General features: G+C 39.7%; 1 protein-coding gene and 1 pseudogene across 13 annotated transcripts in view, besides 1 other annotated feature; one reads left to right on the top strand and one right to left on the bottom strand.

The window, feature by feature from the left end:
• Positions 1–23,807, bottom strand: part of RABGAP1 (RAB GTPase activating protein 1) — a 173,196-nt gene that overhangs the window by 30,918 nt on the left and 118,471 nt on the right. For 11 of the 13 annotated variants that reach the window (XM_047423130.1, XM_017014567.3, XM_017014569.2 and 8 more), the window contains 3 exons: positions 8,488–8,601; positions 3,525–3,599; positions 272–397 (listed from right to left, as the gene is read on the bottom strand). In XM_047423130.1, coding sequence (XP_047279086.1) covers positions 272–397; positions 3,525–3,599; positions 8,488–8,601 — 315 coding nt within the window. Of the gene's footprint in view, positions 1–271; positions 398–2,447; positions 2,538–3,524; positions 3,600–8,487; positions 8,602–23,807 lie in introns of those variants that run through there. The other 2 variants (XM_011518444.3, XM_024447477.2) reach the window with 2 other exon arrangements.
• Positions 954–1,627: an enhancer, noted in NCBI's record as "OCT4-NANOG hESC enhancer chr9:125834601-125835274 (GRCh37/hg19 assembly coordinates)". NCBI's record gives its function as "activates a minimal SCP1, AML or CMV promoter by ChIP-STARR-seq in naive and primed H9 embryonic stem cells {active_cell/tissue: H9 hESC(naive and primed)}" and the evidence as "EXISTENCE:reporter gene assay evidence [ECO:0000049][PMID:30033119]".
• LOC100422501 (COP9 signalosome subunit 2 pseudogene) lies at positions 10,643–11,687 on the top strand (annotated as a pseudogene).

The following is a 23,807-nucleotide window of genomic DNA, read 5'->3' as shown; positions in this document are numbered from 1 at the left end:
ACTTCTTGACTGAGTTAGCTGTGGAAAAGACCCCTAACAAAGTCATCTGATCTTTTGGGAGTTTATCAGCTCACATCCATGAGGTGTGAAAGTTTAACACTTTGTTAATCTTTGCATCATAATCACATAGTGATAAAGGATAAAAATGAAACCCATCCTTAGCCACGGATCGCTAAGGCAATTACCAATGCTCCCTGGCACCATTTCCTCAATTTGGTGCTCCTTAGTCCTGTACTCTTTTTGTCAAACACAAGCTGGTTTCTCTTTTTACCTGCATGAGGCGCTCCAACTGGTAAAATTTGCAATGCAAATCTTCGAAGTTTTGCTTGAAAAGTTCCCTGAGCCCATAGTCAAACATGATCTTGACCAGAACACTGAATGCCTGTTCTTCAGGCATCTGTAACAGATAGGCAAGTTGTTGGGTAGGGAGGATGGCGGTGGGGAATCACAAAACATACAGAAGTTTTCTCAGGATATTAAATCCAGCTTTATATTATTGCCTTACCAGAAAATTTAGTGCTATGCAGAAACTCAGGCCTAAGGTTGTGTTTAAAACATTTATTCACTCAAACAAGGAATAGTTAACAATGACTACTCTTTGTCAGTATGGTTCCTGTCCTCAAGGAGTCTCTCACACAGCCAGTATTAAAATAACTGTAATAGGAATTAGACATCAGTGATAATACAAGAACAGGAAGGCCTGTATCTGCCTAAGGCAGTCAGAAACAGACTTTGTAGAAAGGACAGAATTTGAGCTGAGCAGAAATAGGCTGATATACAGTGTAGGTGTCATCTTTCCCAAATCCTGGGACCTCTGTTTAACCATTTTTCCTCCCTTAGCTGCTATTTCATTCTAGCAAAATTGTTTTTCTTCCTCACTGTTAAAAATATAGCTTGTTTTAGAAGAACCTTACATATTCTAAGGCTTGCAGTAATGCTTGAAGTACTACAAAAGCCTCCTTCACTTCTATTTACATTTATAATAATACCTACATTTTCCATAGTTTTATGGATAATTATTTCCCTGAGAACTTGGCAAGATATTTTCAAAAGAGAAAAAAGAAGCACTGGAAATGTTATTTAAGGATTGGTGTGAATGTAGCAAGCCTTCAAAAAAGTCAAGAAGGTGGGCAGGCTTCTATGGAACAAGATGATGGAGGCGGGCTGAGCACAGAAATCACTGAGAAGAAAGCAGAACTAAAGAGCAAATCAGATTAAGTAATAAGTGAGAAAAGCATAGCAGATCATTACTGGTAAGTTAAGAGTATCTGGGGCAAAAGCCCAGATCTTTGAAGTCTTTGTCATGGAAGGCAACTTCACTTTGCCACATGCAAGGAGATGTGGCCTAACCCACAGTGGTGATTCTGATGCTAAGTAGCCCATCTCCCCTCACTCTAAACAAGCACTTATAACACTCTGGCAAGCAGCAAGAGTTCAAAACAAGACATGGAGGGTCTGATTGGAAAACCCATTTTCAAGGGGATAAATGTCCTTGAACTGAAGGTGAGAACGAAGATAAATCACCCAGGCTTGTGGGACTTTGAGATATAAAGTCTCATTAAAACAACAAAACAAAATAAAAAGTCAACCTCTTTATTCATGTCATAGCTTTATCATATTTTTACATGACTACCAATAGCAACAAGCTGGGTTCAGTTAAGAAAAACCAAAGTGGTTTTTGTTTTACTTGTACAGGTTGAGCAACCCATATCTGAAAATACAAAATGCTCCAAAATCTGAAACTTTTTAAACACTGACATGATGCTAAAAGGAAATGCTCATTGGAACACTTTGGATTTTTGGATTTGGGATGCTCAACCGGTATAATGCAAATATTCCAAAATCCAAAATCCAAAATCCACAACACTTCCGGTCCCAAGCATTTCAAATAAGGGATACTCAAACTTGTATTGCAATCTACACAAAATGGCTTAATACCCTTGAATACCTGTTGCTTAGAAAAGCAAGATTCAGACTCCTTATCTGGGCTTCAAAGCTCTCCCTAGCTCTCTCCTCAACTCCCAGTCACTCAGGATACTCCAGTCACACTGTCCTCCTTTCAGTTCCTCCCATACACCAAGTGTTTCCCCAGTTTAGGACTTCTGTATACTGTACCATTCACTTTCCCATTAACACTCTATTCTCTACTCCCTTTTCAAATAGATCTATTATTTTCATAACAACATTTTGAAAAGTTAACACAGAAAAGAGCAAAAGAAAATGATATCCCTTATCATTTTCCAGGCTGCTCCTTACAGGTCACTTCCCCTGAGAAGCCTTTAATCTAAGTAAGACTCCCTTGTTACAATCTTACACCAAACTTTTTATTATACCTTAATAGCACCACTGAAAGTAATAAATGATATACTTGTGTGATTATGTGCTTAAAGCTAGTTGGATTCACAAGCTCTGTATCCAGGAGGATTGAGACCATGTCTCTTATTTACCTCTGATCTTCAGCACAGTACAGATCATAACAGGTACTCAAAACTCTTTGCTGACATCACCTGTGTGGTATTCTTGCCAAGCATTTTAAACTGAATCATGAGAAAATGAGACAAATCAAGACTGTGGGACATTTTATATGACAATTTGTCTGAATTTTTCAAAACTATCAATGGCATGAAACACAAAAAAAGGCAAAGGAGTAATTTAGATTAAAAGAATAAAGAGAAATGACAATTCAATATTTGAATCTTCATTAGATCTTGATTAGAAAAAAAGCTAGATTCTATGGAGTAGACAATTGGGAGAAAATTGAATGTGTATTGTGTATCAGACATTACTGAATCAATGTGGAATTTCTTGGATGTGATCATGGTATTATGATTATGATACAGAATTCTGTGCTCCCAGAAGGCATATATATGATCAAGTATTTAGAAGTCTTGATGTTTGTTATTTACTTTCAAGAATAATTTCAAAAAACAATTTAAGTAAAAAAGAAAATGTGTGTTTATGCAGAAAAGAGAAAAAAAGAGATGCAGAGGGAGACAAACAGAAAAAGCAGTGTGGAAAATATTAATTGGTAAACTAGATAAAGACTGTTCACCTTAACACTGTTTAGAGTTTTCTGTGGATTTGAAAGAAAATAAAAAAGGTGGAGGGCAAAGGTGTTTGCTAAGCCAATGAATGAATAAAATGGTACTAAAAGAAAACCAACTTTTCCGCCTTCCTCCTACCCCAATACCTAAATCTCAAAACAAGTATTAATGACAGCGGCTACTTTAGAGAAGATAAAACGTCCCCAAGAGTTCAACCAACATTAAAGTCTCTCCAATCATCCTATTAATAAAAAGGAAGTCTACCCCTGTACCAGTTTTCAACATTGCCGTTTATTCTCATCATATATCTCCTCCACAATGACATTAAGTTAATTTAAGGAAAAAGTTTCCAGCTATAGGTGTTAAAATTCATGCCTTAAGAGTCTGTCCAAACCCAATATAAAACCATGCTCAAGCCTAAGGTTAGTATAAGCTGAGGGAGGCCATGTGTTAAGTCATAACAGAGACCTAATTACTCACATGGAGAAGGAGCACAGCAGCAAGAAATGACTGGCCCTGGCAATAACCAATCTCTTCATCATACACAGAATAAGCCTGGAAAATAAAACACACAGAGGAAATGTAAATGAATGTAGCCACTTGTGGGCCATGGTGGCACTATAGGACCTTGAATACAGAACCCTGGAGGATGCTACCCACACTGGGACAGCATTTTGACAGACAGTAAGTGGTGCCAATACTTCTCTCCAATCTTAACTTTTTCTTTACAATGAATACAGCTATCACCACTGCATTTCCTGTGGCGAAGGAGTAGGGAAGATTAAGGAAAAACCACTTCTGCGCTAAAAAAAACTTCGTATTTCCTTGTTGTTGTTCATGATGTTCCCTCTCCTTGGGATGTCCTTTCCCTCTCTGCCTCAAACATGCACTCTTCCTTCAGGCACCAAACTTATTTCAATTCCCCCAGAATGAATTCCTCTCTTCTCTGCCTCTATGGCACCTGCTATACATGCATGGTTATTATTATATTATTACCACATTGCATTTTATTTTATTTTTAGAGACAGGGTCTTGCTCTGTTGCTCAGGCTGGAGTGCAGTGGTACAATCATGGCTCACTGCAGCGTCAACCTCCTGGGCTCAAGGGATCCTGCTCCATCAGCCTCCTGAGTAGCCTGGACCACAGGCTTGCACCACCATGCCTGCCTAATTTTTAAAAATTTTTTATAGAGATGGGATCTCAACTACGTTGCCCAGGCTGGTCTCTAACCCCTAGGCTCAGACTATCCTCCTACCTTGGACTCCCAAAGTACTGGGATTACAGGTGTGAGCCAGTGTGCCTGGCCCACACTGCATTTTTTTTTTTTTTAATAGAGACAGGGTCTCACTATGTTGCCCAGGCTGGTCTCAAACTCCTAAGCTCAAGTGATCCTACTGCCTCAGCCTCACAAACTGCTAGGATTACAGGCGTGAGCCACCAAGCCCAGCCCCACACTGCATTTTACATGTCCATCTTCTCTGCCAGATGGTAGGCTTTGTGAGGGACAGGGTGATGTTCTATTCAACCTTGAGTCAGCACCTCATATACAGCATGCGCTCACGAAACACTGTTAATGTTATTCATTTTTCTTTCTGGGAAAAGCTCTTTTGGCAAAGACACCAAAATATAATTCTTTCCACAACACCAGTAATAACTTTTCTGATAAGTGAGATTACTCTGAAACCATTTGTGGGTTCCTCTGGAATTCTTATTTTTATTTTTCTTGGCAGCAAATGATTACTACCCATCTCCTCTGAACATTATTTTGAATAGAATATTGACATCTAACATTCTTCATGGTTTACTCTTTGGTTTTTTAGTTCTTTTTCAGAGTTCTGTTTTTATGACTGGTATTTGCAGTTCTCATGTAAATGTGGTAGAAAGGGAAATTCCTATAGCTTCAACATGCTATTCCTTGTTTGACAAATTTATTTCTTGTGAAACTCCCTTTGTTTTCCACTTATTTTTTGTGCCAAAGTTGCTCTGTGTCCCAAGAAAGCAACTTAGAATTGGGTATGTTTAGAATATATAACTCTTGGCAAAATATAGTGCCAATACTTATTAGATGCTAGTCAAGTTAATATGCAACCAAGTTTTATCACTAGCTTTGGTGAAACTATAGCTTTTAAAAATACATACATTATGATCACGCATTAATAAATTTTCGTAGAATTCAATGTAATCTTATTATACCACACCCATTTCTTCAGTTTATCTGATAAGAAGGCTACAGGATGAGAAACATACATACTTTTCCAGAGACAAGATGTGCAAAAAGGGCTTTAGAAATGATCAGTTTATAATACGAGGCACCACTTTCCTATCAAATTAATAACAATTAACAAATGTTATTACCAGTATTAATACTGTGTTAAAAATGAGTAGTAATATATGCTAACACAGCTCTCTGGAAAACAGGCAATGTCTTTGAAGATATCCATTAACAGTTTTATCAGTTACAAAAGAACAGAGGCTTTAGAGTTAGTCAGAGTTGGGTTAAAATCCCACAACTCCCAATGTCTAGATATGGATTTTTTCTTTTTTTTTTTTTTTTTTGAGATGGAGTCTCCTGTGTCACCCGAGGTGGAATGCAGTGGCACAATCTTGGCTCACTGCAACCTCTGCCTCTCAGGTTCAAGCAATTCTCCTGCCTCAGCCTCCCAAATAGCTGGGATTACATATGCCCACCACCATGCCCAGCTAATTTTTGTATTTTTAGTAGAGATGGGGTTTCATCATGTTGGCCAGGCTGGTCTCGAACTCCTGACCTCAGGTGAACCACCCACCCTGGCTTCCCAAAGTCCTGGGATTGTAAGCATAAGCCACCGCGCCCAGCCTAGATATGAATCTTGAGCATGTAACTTACTTTATTTGTAATAAGAGAATAAGCCTAGTATTAATAACACAGAGTTGATGTATTCTTCTCATTTAGTCCTCTCATTTAACATGCTCAGCACAGAGCTTCACCAATTATGCAGTAATAATAGGATGAAACTGTACTGAATTTCTATAGGTAGAAAATGGAGGGGAGCATATTTTTCAGGCTGATGGACGATAAAGGAATCATATACGTGTGAAATTATATGATACATTTGGAAAATGTTTGGAGTATAAGTTTCATGTTGGCTGTAACGAAATCTGGGGGAAGAAAAGACATTTCACTAATTCATCAACACTTAATGAACACCTACTATAGACCAAGCACTGTGCCAAGTGCTACAGATGCTACCATATCTAAGAAATGATCCCTGCCCTTGAAGACATCACGGTTCAGTGGGGAAGTTAGACAAGTGAATCAACCAGAGCACAGTGAGAAGTTCAATGTAGTTAATGCATACAATATTTGGAGAAGCAGCAATAAGGGCTAAGTCAGGATATAATACAAAATATCTTCAACACTAAGCTAAGGAATCCAGGGAAATGAACTAGGACTTTTCATTTAATTCCATGGGTTATAAAGTAGCAGTTATAAAGGTTTCTGTGGAGGCCACTGAAATGATCTAATTCTGCGTTAGGCAAGGAGCAAAGAATCAACAGGCCAGAACCCAAAGGCAGAGCAGCTTTTGTAAAACTGCCAGCAATGTAAGATACTGGCCTGTACCAGGGCAGTGAAGAGAGAGAATGAAGCTAAGAGAGACATCAGTCATATCTAACTCAACCTAGACAAAGACAGGACTGAAAACCAACAGAAATGACTGTCTGCAGCAGGACAATGGTATGGGAGAAAAGGAGGACTATGTTTAATTTAAAAAGAGACAACAACTTAATGTAATGTGGGTCTTATTGGCTCTTGATTCTAACTAGCCGTATTAAGGATATTTGAATGTGGAGTAGCTACTAATTAATTGGTAAAGATGGATAAACTTATTTTTTAGAGATGTAGTATTAAAAAATTAGGATCATGATGTCTAAGATTTGTTTTAAAGTACTTTAGAAAAAAGGAAAAAAAAGATGAAGCAACTGTGACAATACATTGATAAATAATTAGTGTGGGGGATATTAACTATACTTATCAGTTAGACTAATCATTATACTAATTAATGTTTACGTTTGAAATTTTTCATAATAAACCATGTTTTAAAATGAACTGTATTTTTAAACCCATTCTGTTTGATACAATTGACAGACTTTTACATGGAGACTAATTGTCTGCTGGAAATTTAGACCTTGAGTTAATGTAGATTTGTGAACATCTGTACAGTGATGATAGCTGAAGCTTTGGGGGTAGAAGGGATCACCCAGGGAGATGGTGTAGAGCTAGCCAAACTACCCAACTGAGCACCCAGAGGAAGGCCTCTGGTTTAGGGGCAGGTAGTGTGAGATAAAATGATGAAGTCAGTGAAGGCATGAGAGGGAGCCCGTACCCAAGAGAGTGACATGTCTTATGCTCAAGAGCAGAAAGCTCTGCAAGGAAGAGCACCATGAAATAGGAACTAGAATATAGTGGAGTCAAAAGTATGTGACGAGGGACCAGAGGCAGTGGACATAGCGTTTCTTTCTAGGAAATTCTGTAGTAAAGTGAGAGATGGCAGGGGTCACTGCTTAAGCAGGAAATAAAACTGAGAAGGGGCTAAAAAGGATGATCAGAAAGAAAGATTACCACAGAAATCTGTATCCTATGTAAAAGTTAAAATGAAATCTAAAAAATATTTCTCTAAACTCAACTGTCCTTGTAGTTTAAATCATCGAATTTTTCATTGGCGAGCCTATCCTTTACTGCTAGTCTGTCCTAAAACCAGTTGTCATATAGCATTAGCGACATGTCTCATGCCTTACCTGTACTTACTACATAGGAGATGCTAAATAAGTACTTGATTACTTTTGGGAGGAAAAGACTGAAGACTAATTCTGAGAACAGATGAAGACTGAAAAACTCCGTTCCTATCTCCTCCTTTTATAACCCAATAGCTCTAATGTGCCAAATCTATTTGAAAATGGAATACGGAAATTGAACAGGCTATTACTTCCTTTAGTGTTCGGGTACAGACCTTTTGAGAGAAATCAGAATCTTCCATCATTTACTATGCTGCAGTGCTATAAGTACACCTGGATGGGCAATGACACTTCCCACTGTGAGACCGTACCGTAGGTGCCAAGTTCATCACTTATAAAGTGAATACTGAAAAGGAGTCTGCAGTGTCACAGGGCTCAGAGGTTCTTAACATAAAAACAAATTTTGAAAGTCTAAATGTGGAGCCAGGGAACTGTCATCTAAAAATCCTGATTAGAAGGGGAAAGGAAACCCTACCATTTTATTTCTTATTATTTTCTACTCTTTAATGAATCTAAAATTGTGTTCTCACCTTTGACTTTGCAATGTCTTTTCTCTTTTTGGAATTCTTGAACATCAAATACAAATTACACTTTGTAGTTGTTTCTTATGTAATTTCAAAGTAGAACCACCACTCAGAATTGAGTCCTTTTTTTTTTTGACATGAAATACCTTGCATATTTTATATAAGGAATCTTGTCCATCTCCTCCTGTGTCCTTAAAGTAGTCATGGGCTGGGAATGTTCGGTTAATATCCCGGGTGATAGCACTGTCCTGGGGAGACTCCTGTGGAAACATAAGGAAAGAGAGGGTTTAGTTAGGTTAATCATGTAAACTCTTATTCAGGTTTAGGCAAGGTCTTCTCATTTACACACTTTAAATGTTGCAGGGACATACATACACATATGTATGCCCATAGTTACTGCCTCTTCAGGGACCAACCACTCAAGCAAAAGCAAATGTAAAGGGGGAAAAAAGATGGAAGAAAAGCAACCCATTTCACTCTATACACTTCCATATTATACTCCATCCTTACTGCAAAGAACTGCAGCTGGTGACCCTTCTATTGTAAGATGGAAAATGTGCTATTAAGAATGGATTTCCTATAGGAAAATACTCAAACTAATCGCAAAAGGAGGAGGTAAAGTGCTCCCAGTAGAAAAACTGCTGCTTTAATTGATGCTTTGGAATGAAGCCCATATGCCAGTTTTCAAATGGAAAAGAGTAGTTACTTAATTGGGATTTGTCCTAGAGGCAAATGGCATAAGAATGCACAAAGCAATCTACTCAGTATGAACAAGACCACCAAATGCCAAGGGATTCAAACAGGCTATGGGAAAATATCCTTTGCTTTTTCCAATGGACAAAAACTGTTTCCTCTTCTATAATGAGTTAACTAAAACGGAACAAATGTCAATAATGTCAACAAACCTTTGTAAAATACACCAAGCACCCAGTTATTTCTAATATTCTCCCCTTGTTAAATTTCATTTGCTGACACAGTAAAGAACTGGAACACAGAAATATGACCTTCTACTTTAACAATGCAGTGTCTTCATAGCTAAGACAATAGAGTTGATTCCCCTTGGTAAGAATACATCATAATCAGTATACTACCAAAGAACATGATACCTCTGTTTTAAGATGAAAAATGCAAGTGATGTTCTTCTCTTGTCCAATAATTTCTCTAGCCTTTTGGGTAATCATGTTCCGAAGGCCATGAATATTTTATAGTTGTGGGATCTGAACTAACTTTAAAGCCTATGCTCCTTCTTAAACAGTAAACTATTTATACCTTCAAGGATGTCGCCAAATTGCTTTTCAAAGAGCTTTAGTGGCATATGTTACTTCTAGTTATTAACATAGTCTTAACAGTTAATGGCAGCTCAGGACTGTGGTGCTCTTCAACAAAAGGAAAAAATCCAAGGGAGATCTATGACTACAGCAGCTAATTACATGGTGGCAGCTTCCAGACTGAATTAGAGCTCCGCGTTGGAGGTATCTTCAAAAGTTGAGAAAGTGGGAGAGAGAGGGAGAGCAAGCGAGAGTGAGAAAATGAGAGAGCGAGCGAAGTGAGCGAGAGTGAGAGTGAGAGCGAGTGAGAGAGCACGCACACAAATTTTGGGGCGGGCAAGGTAGCTAGAATTGTAGGGTAGAGTGCTAGTGAGGAATATGCTGAACAGAGAGCTGAAGAGTTAGAAGAGGGGTCGCTATGAGATATGAATTATAAATAAACGACAAGCTGGACACTTCATCAAAATTTAAAAATCTTACTATTCAAAAAACTGTTTAAAATATGAAAAGGTAAGTCACAGGCCAGGACACAATGCCTACAAAACATATCTGATAATAAAGTTGGAGTTGTATCCAGAATATATAACTCTCCAAATTAATGAGAAAGACAATTAATTTTTTAAAGTGGGAATGTGTAAATGATTGAGGTGTTTCATTAAGGAAGATATAACACATGGCAAATAAGCACTTGAAAAGATGTCAACATTACTAGCCCTCAGGGCAGTGCAAATTAAAACCACAATGAGATTCCACTACATATCTACAAAATGCTAAAATTAAGAAGTGTTGGCAAAGGATAAGAAACAACTGGAACTCCTATACAATGCAAAATGGTACAAACACTTTGTAAACAGTTTGGTGGTTTCTTACAATAGTAAACACATAATTACCATACAACCCAGTGATTCCATTCCTAGGTATTTACCAAAGAGAACTGAACATATAAATGCATGAAAAGACTTAAACTCAAATGTTTACAGAAGCTTTATTCCTAACAGCCAAAACTGGAAACAATCCAGAGAGAATCAGATGAATTTAGGAATTCTATAAAACAACAACAGAAGCTCTAAAAAATGCTAAGAATGATAAACTGTGGTTTAAGACAACTACGAAGGTTAGGAAATTAAATTGAGAATGGAGAGGAATATGGAAACGTTCAAAATATTTTACACCAGTTACATCAATCATATCACACTGATTACGGAGATGACAACCTGAAAAAGGATACAGTTATTAGAGATATGAGATTTGGGCTGGGCATGGTAGCTTATGCCTGTAATCCCAGCACTTTCAGAGGCTGAGACAGGTGGGTCACTTGAGGCCAGGAGTTTGAGACCAGCCTGGCAACATGGTGAAACCCTGTCTCTGACTACAAATACAAAAATTAGCCAGGCATGGTGGCAGGTGCCTGTAATCCCAGCTACTTGGAAGGCTGAGGCATGAGAATCGCTTGAGCCAGTGAAGCAGAGGCTATAGTGAGCCAACATCGTGGCACTGCACTCCAGCCTGGGCGACACAGCGAGACCTGTCTCAATTAAAAAAAAGAGAGAGAGAGGAGACGAGATTTAGAAATTCAACTGTACACAGGACGTAAAAAATAACAAAAAACTGAAAGTACTCTCTATAACTGGGCCAGTTCTTGTCAATTTGCCATCCCATATCCATTAATCATGGAATTATCAGAGAATGAAGGGGCAAAATGCCCTTAAAAGAAGGTCATTTTGAAAATTCACACTCAATTTTTGATGCCTTCAAGAATGATAATAAATTGAGGAGTTCCATGTGAATCATTTGCTTAAAATATTTGGCCTTAAGGAAATATGCTGAAGAACTTGGAATAAATTCATTTGACTTGCTGGAGGCCACATCATGCAAAAGTGATGCAGAAATTCTAATAATGATGAGTTTAGTAAGTTCCTATCAGAATGACATTAAATTTGAAAAGGTTCTGAAAATAAAACACAGCAACATTATGGATGATCCCCTAAGAGAAAAAAAGCAAAGAGCTTTTCAAAATAGTCAAAGCAAGTGCTTACAAAATTAAGCTTTATACAACAATATATATTCCTTTTCTTTCTTGTTTCGCTCTTGTCGCCCAGGCTGGAGTACAATGGAGCAATCTTGGCTCACCGCAACCTCCGCCTCCCTGATTCAAGCGATTCTCCTGCCTCAGCCTCCCAAGTAGCTGGGATTACAGGCATGTGCCACCACGCCTGGCTAATTTTTGTATTTTTAGTAGAGACGGGTTTTCTCCACGTTGGTCAGGCTGGTTTTCAACTGACCTCAGGTGATGCGCACGCCTTGACCTCCCAAAGTGTTGGGATTACAGCTGTAAGCTACCACACCCGGCCATATTCCTTTTATTTCTAAGGAGTTAAACATAAATGTAACTGATGTAGAGAGCCTGCCAATGCAACACATGTAACACTATTCGTGGCCAAACTGATCAAGTCAACCAAATACATCCTCTTAAGGAGGCTGTAGTTAGTATAATGGCTTAACAGACAAGTTTTTATAAATGTACTTACGGCAACAGTGCACAGATGGTGACTTTAAAAGAACACGGAATGAATGGCAAAAGTATTGTCAGTTGTTACGTTCTGAAAATTACTGCTGTTATAAGAGAGGTGGGTTGTTTTGTTTTGTTTTGTTTTGTTTGATCAACTGGTTTTGTGTTTTGGCTAATTCATTTATCCCAAGAAAAACACCCTTAATTTCCAGAAGAAAACAAAAATGCAATAGGATTATGCACTATTGCCATCTTGCAAACTTCTTCTATAAAGGGTCAGGTAAAAATTTTTGGCTTTGCAAGCCATTCAGTGCTGCAGTTATTCAACTCTTCCCTTGTAGAGCAGCCATAGACAATATGTAAATAAACAAGCACTGCTGTGTCCTAACAAAACTTTATTTATAAAAGCAAGCGCATGCCAGGCGCAGTAGCTCATGCCTGTAATCCTAGCACTTTGGGAGGCCGAGGCGAGTAAACCACTTGAGCCCAGGAGATTGAGACCAGCCTGGGCAACATGGCAAAATCTCATCTCTACAAAAATACAAAAATTAGCCGGGCGTGCTGGCATACACCTGTCTTAGCTATTCGGGAGGCTGAAGCAAGAGGATCCCTTGAGCCCAGGAGGTAGAGGTTGCAGTGAGCCAAGACTGTGCCACTGTGCTCCAGCCTGGGCAGTAAGAGAGAGAGCCTGTCTTATACAACAATAACAACAACAACAAAAATGAATAAACAAAAGTGAGAGGCAAACTGAACCTGGCCCTGAGGTGGTAGTTTGTTAACCCTTGTTATAAGTATACTACAACACAGTAATTTGTTATGGTCAGCATGACCAGAGAGAAGATTTTTGTTATGATTTTAAATATACTAACATGTTATTAATTTTATACATGCTTTGCCCTCAGAAACTTTGTCACAACCTGCTACAACTTGAAATGTATATCTCTTTGAACACTTTTGTACTTTTTTCACATAATAACAAATGTTAAAAATGTTTGCTGCATTTTGCAAAAGTCTGTATATTCCTGTCTATGCAGTGTAGTACACGTTTCAATAAAACCCTGTAATTGTAGTGGTATATAGTCCCTGACATTTCAAGCAGCAAAATAAACAGTATATACAGCTCACAAATTATAAACACAAACTGACACACATGAGACTGGCTAAAATAAAAATACCAAATGTTGGTGAGAATATGAAATTACTGGAACTCTCAATGGTTGCTAATGGGTGTGTAAATGATATAACCACTTTGGTAAAGAACATGGCAGTTTCCCAGAAAGTTAAATATATACCTAACTACCATGACCCAGCAATTCCATTCCTAATACCCTCATGTGTAATAGCCCAACTAGAAACCTCAAATGTCCATCTACAGAAAAAGTGATAAATTATGGTATATCCATCTAATGGAATACTACCCAGCAATACAAATGAACCTCTAATACATGAAACAACACAAATAAATCTCAAAAACATTATGTTGAGCAAAAGCCCATGGTGACAGAAACCGAAATGGTTACCTGGGGGTGGGAGGGAAATCAACTGAAAAGGGGCATAAGGGAACTTTCTGAGATGACAGAAATGTTTATATTTTCTTTGGTGTTTACACAAATATAAGAAATTGTCAAAACTCATCAAAATGAACACATAAGGTGTATGTTTATTGTATGTAAATTATACTACACTCACAAAAACTGTAATCTCACATTCCCCACCTCCCTCCACCAACATTTCTCAACAGTTCTCTATTCTTGTGAATGGCAGCAGGTTTTACCACCTTGTTTCTGATTCTAGCTACCATGAATCATCACTGATCTGGAGATCTTTCTGCAGAGTCTGGATTCTGTCTCTTCCTTTCCACTTCTAGTGCATCACCCAAAGGCAGACCCATGCTTCATCTTACCAAGACTAATATAACAGCCTAAATGATTGTCTTAGTCGCTTTGGGCTACTCTAACAAAATATTACAAACTGGGTGGCTTATAAACAACAGGAATTGTTTTTACAGTCTGGGAGGCTGGAAATTCCAAGATCAAGATGCTGGAAAATTCAGTGTTTGGTGAAGGGTCGCTTTGCAGCTCATAGGTGGCATGTGCTTGCTGTGTTCTCATATGGGGCAGGGCAGCTCTCTAGGTCTCTTCTTTATAAGAGCACAAATCCCATGCATAAGGACTTTGCCCTCATGACCTAATCACCTCCCAAAGGCCCCATCTCCTAACAGCATCACATTAGTGATTAGTTTTTTTTGTTTTTGTTTTTTAATTTTTATTTATTTTGAGACGGAGTATCGCTCTGTCACCCAGGCTGGAGTGCAGTGGCGCAATCTCGCCTCACCGCAACCTCCGCCTCCCGGGTTCACGCCATTCTCCTGCCTCAGCCTCCTGAGTAGCTGGGACTACAGGTGCCCGCCACCACGCCTGGCTAATTTTTTTAATTATTTAGTAGAGACGGGGTTTCACTGTGTTAGTCAGGATGGTCTCGATCTCCTGACCTCGTGATCCGCCCGCCTCGGCCTCCCAAAGTGCTGGGATTACAGGTGTGAGCCACCTTGCCTAGCCATGGTTAGGTTTTAACATATGAATTTTGGGGGGACATAAACATTCAGACCATAACACTGATCTTCCTTTATCTCTTTACTTCTACTGGCACAACCGTGTCTGATTAATTTTTCTGAAATGCATGGACCAATCAGATCATTTTGCTGGTCATAAACTTTTATGAGTCATTATTACTATGTATACAGGAGGAGGTCCATGCCTTCTCCTTCATACTGACCACTTCACAAGTAGACTGAACACTAATCTGATTTCAGAATACCACTTGAACCATGTAGTAAGTAGGGTCACTGCTGACAAAGGCACCCAGGACATTTTGTTCTCTCTCAAATGCATGCTGCAATATCCTGAGTATCTGGGGCATGCTGGGGGAAGACTGGAGCATTACAAAGAGAAAGGCCTTTAAACCCAGACATATATTCAAGTCCAATGTGCTGCTGGTGGCTCCCAGTTAACAAATTAAACCTTGTTTTCCACTTGTCACTCTTCCTTGTGTTTATATTTCTTTGAAAACTTCAAGAGAAAAAGGGGTGACTGGCATGGCACAATTTGGGCATTGTTGGAAGTAATTCTATTTAAAACTATACTGTAAAATATCAGCACTTCTTAAATTTATTCACTAAACAAATACTGAGAATTAACGCCTCATGCTAAAATCCAAATCTCTTTCCCAAACATAACCTAAAATCAATGATATACCTTACTGCATTTTAAAAGGAAAAAAAAAAAATCTAACTTTTGGCTTTCTTAGTATAATAAAACCTTTTTGTTTTCTTATTTTAATAAAATTGTTTTGCTTTTTTGTAACAATAATACTGGAAGGAAAAAGAAGAATTTTACCATTCAGATAATAACTATGGCTAATATTTGGTTCGCATATGCCAAACTTTTTAGGTTATAACCATTTATTTTTATAAAATGAGTGTAGATTTTAGAAAAATTTTTTTTTGCTAACTACAAAATATTGTATCTTTTCATATTATTTGGCCATTATCCTACCTTAGTATTTTTAATGCACAGTAACCTGTCACACTATTATACCATAATTTACTCTGCCAAAATCTCCAGCTTTGGGATATGCAGCTATTCTACCCCTTTTGCTATAAACAAGGTTGTAAAGTAGAACAGTGATTCTTAAGGGAGAAAAGACAGTTTCCACAATCACTCAATTTCCCTAAAGAAACAGCATTCTCCCTCTCCCTCCTCCCCCTCTCCCCCTCTCCCCTCTCTTTCCACGGTCTCCCTCTGATGCCGAGCCGAGGCTGGACTGTGCTGCTGCCGTCTCGGCTCACTGCAGCCTCCCTGCCTGATTCTCCTGCCTCGGCCTGCCCAGTGCCTGTGATTGCAGGCGCGCGCCGCCACGCCTGACTGGTTTTCGTATTTTTTTGGTGGAGACGGGGTTTTGCTGTGTTGGCGGGGCTGGTCTCCAGCTCCTGGCCGCGAGTGATCCGCCACCCTCAGCCTCCCGAGGTGCTGGGATTGCAGACGGAGTCTCGTTCACTCAGTGCTCAATGGTGCCCAGGCTGGAGTGCAGTGGCGTGATCTCGGCTCGCTACAACCTCCACCTACCAGCTGCCTGCCTTGGCCCCCCAAAGTGCCGAGATTGCAGCCTCTGCCCGGCCACCACCCTGTCTGGGAAGTGAGGAGCGTCTCTGCCTGGCCGCCCATCGTCTGGGATGTGAGGAGCCCCTCTGCCTGGCTGCCCAGTCTGGAAAGTGAGGAGCGTCTCTGCCCGGCCGCCATCCCACCTAGGAAGTGAGGAGCGCCTCTTCCCGACCGCCATCCCATCTAGGAAGTGAGGAGCATCTCTGCCCGGCCGCCCATCGTCTGAGATGTGGGGAGCGCCTCTGCCCTGCCGCCCCGTCTGGGATGTGAGGAGCACCTCTGCCCGGCCGCAACCCCGTCTGGGAGGTGAGGAGCGTCTCTGCCCGGCCGCCCCGTCTGAGAAGTGAGGAGACCCTCCGCCCGGCAACCGCCCCATCTGAGAAGTGAGGAGCCCCTCCGCCCAGCAGCCGCCCCATCTGAGAAGTGAGGAGCCCCTCCGCCCGGCAGCCACCCCGTCTGGGAAGTGAGGAGCGTCTCCGCCCGGCAGCCACCCTGTCCGGGAGGGAGGTGGGGGTCAGCCCCCGCCAGGCCAGCCGCCCCGTCCGGGAGGGAGGTGGGGGGGTCAGCCCCCCGCCCGGCCAGCCGCCCCGTCCGGGAGGTGAGGGGCGCCTCTGCCCGGCCGCCCCTACTGGGAAGTGAGGAGCCCCTCTGCCCGGCCACCACCGCATCTGGGAGGTGTACCCAATAGCTCATTGAGAACGGGCCATGATGACAATGGCGGTTTTGTGGAATAGAAAAGGGGGAAAGGTGGGGAAAAGATTGAGAAATCGGATGGTTGCTGTGTCTGTGTAGAAAGTAGACATGGGAGACTTTTCATTTTGTTCTGTACTAAGAAAAATTCTTCTGCCTTGGGATCCTGTTGATCTGTGACCTTACCCCCAACCCTGTGCTCTCTGAAACGCGCTGTGTCCACTCAGGGTTAAATGGATTAAGGGCGGTGCAAGATGTGCTTTGTTAAACAGATGCTTGAAGGCAGCATGCTCGTTAAGAGTCATCACCACTCCCTAATCTCAAGTACCCAGGGACACAAACACTGCGGAAGGCCGCAGGGTCCTCTGCCTAGGAAAACCAGAGACCTTTGTTCACTTGTTTGTCTGCTGACCTTCCCTCCACTATTGTCCCATGACCCTGCCAAATCCCACTCTGCAAGAAACACCCAAGAATGATCAATTAAAAAAAAAAAAAAAAAGAAAAAAGAAACAGCATAATCCTTGTTTTTGGATTTTGAGTGGCCCTGCCAATTTGTCCTCCAGAAAAGTTGTACCAACTTACAAACCACATTGATACCACTCTTACAGCAATTACTCTGTTTCTGAATAGTCATTTGTATACTTGTCCTATGCTCCTTCTAGTCTATAAGAATGGAATCTAAAGTTGCAAAAAATTGCACATAAAGTTTATTGACTCCATCCTATTCTAACTGCAATACATGATTTGCTGTCAACATTTAAAAAGATATTACCATACATATATTTGCTTGCTCTATCAGTTGACAGGGCCTAGAAGCAAAAACATCCAGTAGCAAGGAGCACACCTAGCATCTATATTTTGGTATCTAATACCATTTACTAACAAAAGGAACCAACCCTCCTTGGAGAAATGGCTGGCTGATTCTAGGACCAGGGCAGATAGCCTGGAACATCTTGTATTGGCCAAAAATAGGAAATAGTCTCCCTTCACCCACACCACAAAGAAAACAAACCTACATTGATAGGGGTATGCCAAAGGGACGTGGGAGCCAAGTGAAAGAGTTCCCGATGGTCAAAGCTGGAGCAATTTGAGCAACAAAATAAACTGGGTTATATAAGTATAAAATAAATGGCCAGGCACGGTGGCTCACGCCTGTACTCCCAGCACTCTGGGAGGCCAAAGGTGGTCGGATCACCTGAGGTCAGGAGTTCGAGACCAGCCTGGCCAACATGGCAAAACCCTGTCTCTACTAAAAATACAAAAATTAGCCAGGCGTGATGGCAGGAGCCTGTAATCCCAGCTACTCAGGAGGCTGAGGCAGAAGAATCACTTGAACCCAGGAGGCGCAAGTTGCAGTGAGCCAAGATCACACCACTGCACTCCAGCCTGGGCGACAAGAGCTAAACTCCATCTCAAAAAAAAAAAAAAAAAAAAGAAGAAGAAATATCTGGCTGGGCATGATGGCTCACACCTGTAATTCCAGCACTTTAGGAAGCCAAGGCAGGAGGACTGCGTGAACCAAGGAGTTCAAGACCAGCCTGGGCAACACGGTGAAATGCCATCTCTACAAAAATAAATAAATAAATAAAACCTCAACAAAACAAGCAAACAAAAAACACAAAAAAATTAACTAGGCATGGCAGCACTTGTAGTCCCAGCTACTCAGGGGGCTGAGGTGGGAGGACTGCTTGAGCCTGGGGGGTCAAAGCTGCAGTGAGCTGTGATCGTGCCATTGCATTCCAGCCTCTGTGACAGAACAAGACCCTACTTTCAGTCAATCAATCAATAAAAGAAATATCCAGGAGTCCATACTTACATAAATAAATGATTGAATAAATAAATGGAGGAGAAGAGACAAATCCTCCATGCAGAAGAATCCCAAATAATTTATGTAGATACCTCACCTTCAAGGAAGGGGAGCAAAACTCCCCACTCCTTAAGTGTGGGCTGTGCACAGTGACTTCCTTCAGAAGAGTACAGTACAGTATGACATGGTGGAGAAAAGAAACTTTATGGTGGAGAAAACTGACAAAGATGACCTTGGCCAGATAATTGAGGTCAACACTGATGTCACGCTGACAGCATGTACCATTAATGTCATAAAAATGGCACTTTACCTCTGTGTTCTTCCTCCTCAAAATTCATGACTTCATGAAAAAAAAATCAGACAAATTTCACTTGAGGGATATTCTACAAAATATCTGAGCAGTATTCCTTAAAACTGTCAAAGTCATCCAAAACAATGCAAGCCTAAGAAACTGTTACAGTCAACAGGAACCTAAGGAAACATGAGGACTAAATGTAGTGCACTCACCTGGAGGGAATCCTGGAGCAGAAAAAGGATATTAGATAAAAACTAAAGAAATGTAAATAAAGTTTGGGATTTAGTTAACAACATCTCAATATTGAGTTATTAATTATAATAAATGTACCATAATAATACAAGGTAATAATAATAGAGTTAATAACAGAGTATACAGGAATTCTTTGTACTATTTTTACAGTATTTCTGTAAATCTAAAACTGTTCTTGAAAATAAAGTTTATTAAAATAAAAAAAGGTTAATTACTTCCTTATTCTACAATATGGAAATTCAGACTTAGAGAAGTTAAGCCACCCAACTTCACACACCAGAACTTATTAAAGCACTCAATAAAATGCTGGACTAAATTTGTGGAATAAAATTGGTTAAATGAACATTGTGGATATATGCTCAATAGTAATCACAGGTAGGCTCTGTTCTTGTGATTTATTTGCAGGTGATTTCTTTCTTGTCCCCAATTATGATGATCTTTGAGTGTATCCAATAAAGCAGTGGTGAAGCTCTATTACTTTTTTAAATTTGAAGGCTCTCCTAAAATAGATTGTGCAGATAAAAATCGAAGGAAATAGTAACATTTGTGCTGTTTTCTTCTCCCCATCTTGGTTTTAAAAGTCTTCCATTAGTTAAAACCACAGTGGTACCACATTCTGTAATCTTTCTGGATGACTATTTTTATACCTTACTGTGAGAATTGGCTCACTGGGTAATTTCTCAGGATTAACAAGGTACTGGGAACTGTAGGAAACCCTTTGAATACACATCCTTTTGTAAACTCAAGTTGAAAAATAGAAAGCTAAGAACGGCAGGAAGAAAAGAAAGTACCCAAACAAAGAAAATGCAGTGGAAGGCTGCCATGAGAAATAACCAACATAGGGAAAATTATTATTTCCAGAGTAGCTTGCTGCCCAAAGAAAAAGTTAGTTCTTCTTAAGATTAATCCAGAATGTTACAGATGCTTTATTAAATGCCATCATGTAACAGTTAAGAAAACAGAATAAAACAAAAACACCACCAAAACCCACTCCAATACATTATACCATGTCCTATCTTTACAATATACTTCACAGGAATAAAGTAACAATTTTTGGTTACATTTTCTTTTAAAAAAGTCAGCTACTGCTTATCAGAAGTCATTTTAAAGACTAAGTTTTTAAAATCCCCTAAACAGATGGGATAAAAATTCAAAAGAAGGAAAATGAAATTGAAAGTGTGCTATGCTTAATATAAAATAAATGAGGATGAAAAATCTCTCTGAGGTAAAATAATTCTCTCCTAATTACATAGCACTCATGTCATTTGTCATTTCATTTCATATGTTTGGAAGTAGAACTGAGCAAAATAAAGAATGAGAATAAGACTGTTAAGCCTATGAAAACAGATGTCTTATGTCTGGGTAAAACCAAGATGGTCCTACAAAAGTCTGCAAAATCTGGAAATGTTATTTCAATTGGTCATGTCACATCTCAAGCACTTCTAATTTGATAGAGCCAAGAAAAGTGACAAAAAAAACCCAGTAACATTATGTTTTCTCTTAATAGCTTTGTCTTTTAAAATTAAATACTGAACCCATCTAAGGAATGCCTCACAAGAATTATGACAAAATAAAATGAAGGTGTGTATAGTATTCTTAGCCTGAGATTTAATAAACAGACTTATGGGTTTCCATAAATTATCTGACTCTGTATGCAAAGTTTTTTGTTTCATTTTGTTTTGTTTTTGAGACACAGTCACACTCTGTTGCCCAGGCTGGAGTGCAGTGGCGTGATCTTGGCTCACTGCAACCTCTACCTCCCAGGTTCAAGAGATTTTCCTGCCTCAGCCTCCCAAGTAGCTGGGATTACAGGCGTGCACCATCATGCCCAGCTAATTTTTTTCTTTTTTTCTTTTTTTGGTAGAGATGGGGTTTCGCCATGTTGGCCAGGCTGGTCTCGAACTCCTAGCCTCAAGTGATCTGCTCACCTCAGCCTCCCAAAGTGCTGGGATTACAGGCGTGGGCCACCGCACCCAGCCTGTATGCAAAGTTTTGTGCACATTTTTCTCAGACGAGTGCTCAGGGTTTTAAACATATTCACTAGAATGTTAAGCTTCATGAAGACAGAGATTTCTGTTTTGTTCACGTATATCTCTAAGCCCAGAGAAGAGTATCTGACACAAAGTAGGCACCCGATAAAAACTTACTGAATAAATTAATTCTCAAAAGGATGTATGACACATAATAAGGTTCAGAGCCACTTATCTAAAAGATCTAAAAGAAATTTTCTATTGCCAGCTGTACTTTCACAGACCTAAAAATAATTATTTAAGTAACAACATGTAGGTCTATCTTAACAACCTTTTGAGGTGGGTTCTATTATCTCCCCCACTTGACAAATGAGGAAAAATGTTAAATCACTTGGCTAGAAAGTGGGAAGCTAGGTCTGGAACCCAGCTGGTCTGGCTTCCTAGCTCACCTTCTTAATCCAAATGAACATATTGTAAAAGTGAAAATATTCTCTTATCAGTATTGAGTTGGAGTTATAATTTCTAATATATTTTTTAAAATGCTTTTCTTGTGGCTGGGTGTGGTGGCTCACGCCTGTAATCCCAGTACTTTGGGAGGTCGACATGGGCAGATCACAAGGTGAGGAGATCGAGACCATTCTGGCTAATACGGTGAAACTCCGTCCCTACGAATAATACAAAAAAAAAAAAAAAAAAAATTAGCCGGGCGTGGTGGCAGGTGCCTGTAGTCCCAGCTACTCAGGAGGCTGAGGCAGGAGAATGGCATGAACCCAGGAGGCGGAGCTTGCAGTGAGCCAAGACTGCGCCACTGCACTCCATCCTGGATGACAGAGCAAGGCTCCGTCTCATAAAAAGATAATAATAAAATAAAATAAAATAAAATAAAATAAAATAAAATAAAATAAAATAAAATAGCTTTTCTCTTCTAGACTCTTATAACTAAAATTGGTATGACACAGACTTTGAAAATAAGCTTTCCTTTTTACTCATTTGAACATGCTTGCTTGTATGAAGGCTGCTCAGTGTTTATGAAAAACAGAAATAACTAAAGGCCCTAGTAACATGTAGCCAGAGAAATATATGACACTCTTAAACATAAAACCAAGGTGAGGCCAGGCGTGGTGGCTCATGCCTGTAATCCCAGCACTTTGGGAGGTCGAGGCGGGCAGATCACCTAAGGTCGGGAGTTCGAGACCAGTCTGATCAACGTGGAGAAACCCCATCTCTACTAAAAATACAAAATTAGCCAGCCGTGGTGGCACATGCCTGTAATCCCAGCAACTCAGAAGGCTGAGGCAGGAGAAGCCCTTAAACCTGGGAGGCGGAGGTTGCAGTGGGCCAAGATCGCGCCATTGCACTCCAGCCTGGGCAGTAAGAGTGAAACTCCGTCTCAAAAAAAAAAAAAAAAAAAAAAAAAAAAAAAAAAAAAAAAAAAAAAAACCAAGGTGAATAAAATCACAACATGTGGCTCCTCAAAGAAAAGGCACAGTCGCTGAATGCTGGGGGCATGTATCTTAACCATTTCAGATCCTAAAAAAAAAAAAAAAATTGAGTATTCTTTTCAATGTTCTGAGTTTTTTTCTTCAAGGCTGACCACCAGATAGATATATTTTTAGATCACAATATCCTGGCCTTTCACATAACTACCTTCACTAAGTTGTGGTATTAGCATGTTCTAAGACCCTGTCAAAAAAAAGAAAACAAACAAACAAAAAAAACCCTGCTATTGAAACTTTGTATTTCATGGTGGTGAGGACATCTACCACTTTACTCAGTGTCCCCATCAAAAAACAGTTTCTCCTAAAAAATTATACATATTTTTCCCCATGGAAATGATCCAATGTTCATTTTTGCTTCGGCCTTCAGGAGGCTCGGAATCAAATCTGCAGCTCAATCTTACATAATACAGGACCTCATAGCCTGTATATCAGTAATAGGAATTATAGTATATTTGTATCAAACAAATTAAAGCCTCTCAAAGTCAATTACATAGTCAAATCAGTAAGAATTATAGAAATAGGTATCGATTGGTGGGCTCACTTAACACTGACAATACAAAAACATCTTCATCTTAATTTAGCTCTGAAGAATGTAATTATATAAAACAAACACATTTTTACTTGTCCCTACATGACTAGCAACACTGCCCTTTAAGTCAGTATTTTCAACTAGGAACCATGGGACCTCTCTGTGCTGTGATGCTGTTCTTCCACACCAGTGCAACAGCAGGGATTTTAGTGGAAGTTGGATTTGTGTGTAGATATTGCTTTGTGTATTTACCCTGGTGATTTGCTCTTGAAGGCAAAAACCATACTTGCAGTAAAACTGCCACTGATTAACAATAACAATTCAAAACCTGGACCAAAAAGAAATAGTAAACTGATCTCTATACATTTAAATACATGACATATTGTTTAGGTATTCAGTAATTAATGCTTTAAAATTTCTACTCCAAAGCTCCAACACATCACACAGAGCAGACTGGAATTAGATACCCATGAACATGGAGGTAACT

Source organism: Homo sapiens, chromosome 9 (genome assembly GCF_000001405.40).
Source record: "Homo sapiens chromosome 9, GRCh38.p14 Primary Assembly".
NCBI classification, from domain to species: Eukaryota; Metazoa; Chordata; class Mammalia; order Primates; family Hominidae; genus Homo; species Homo sapiens.
The sequence above is the reverse complement of the archived record's forward strand: the minus strand, read 5'-3'. Positions and strand labels throughout refer to the sequence as shown.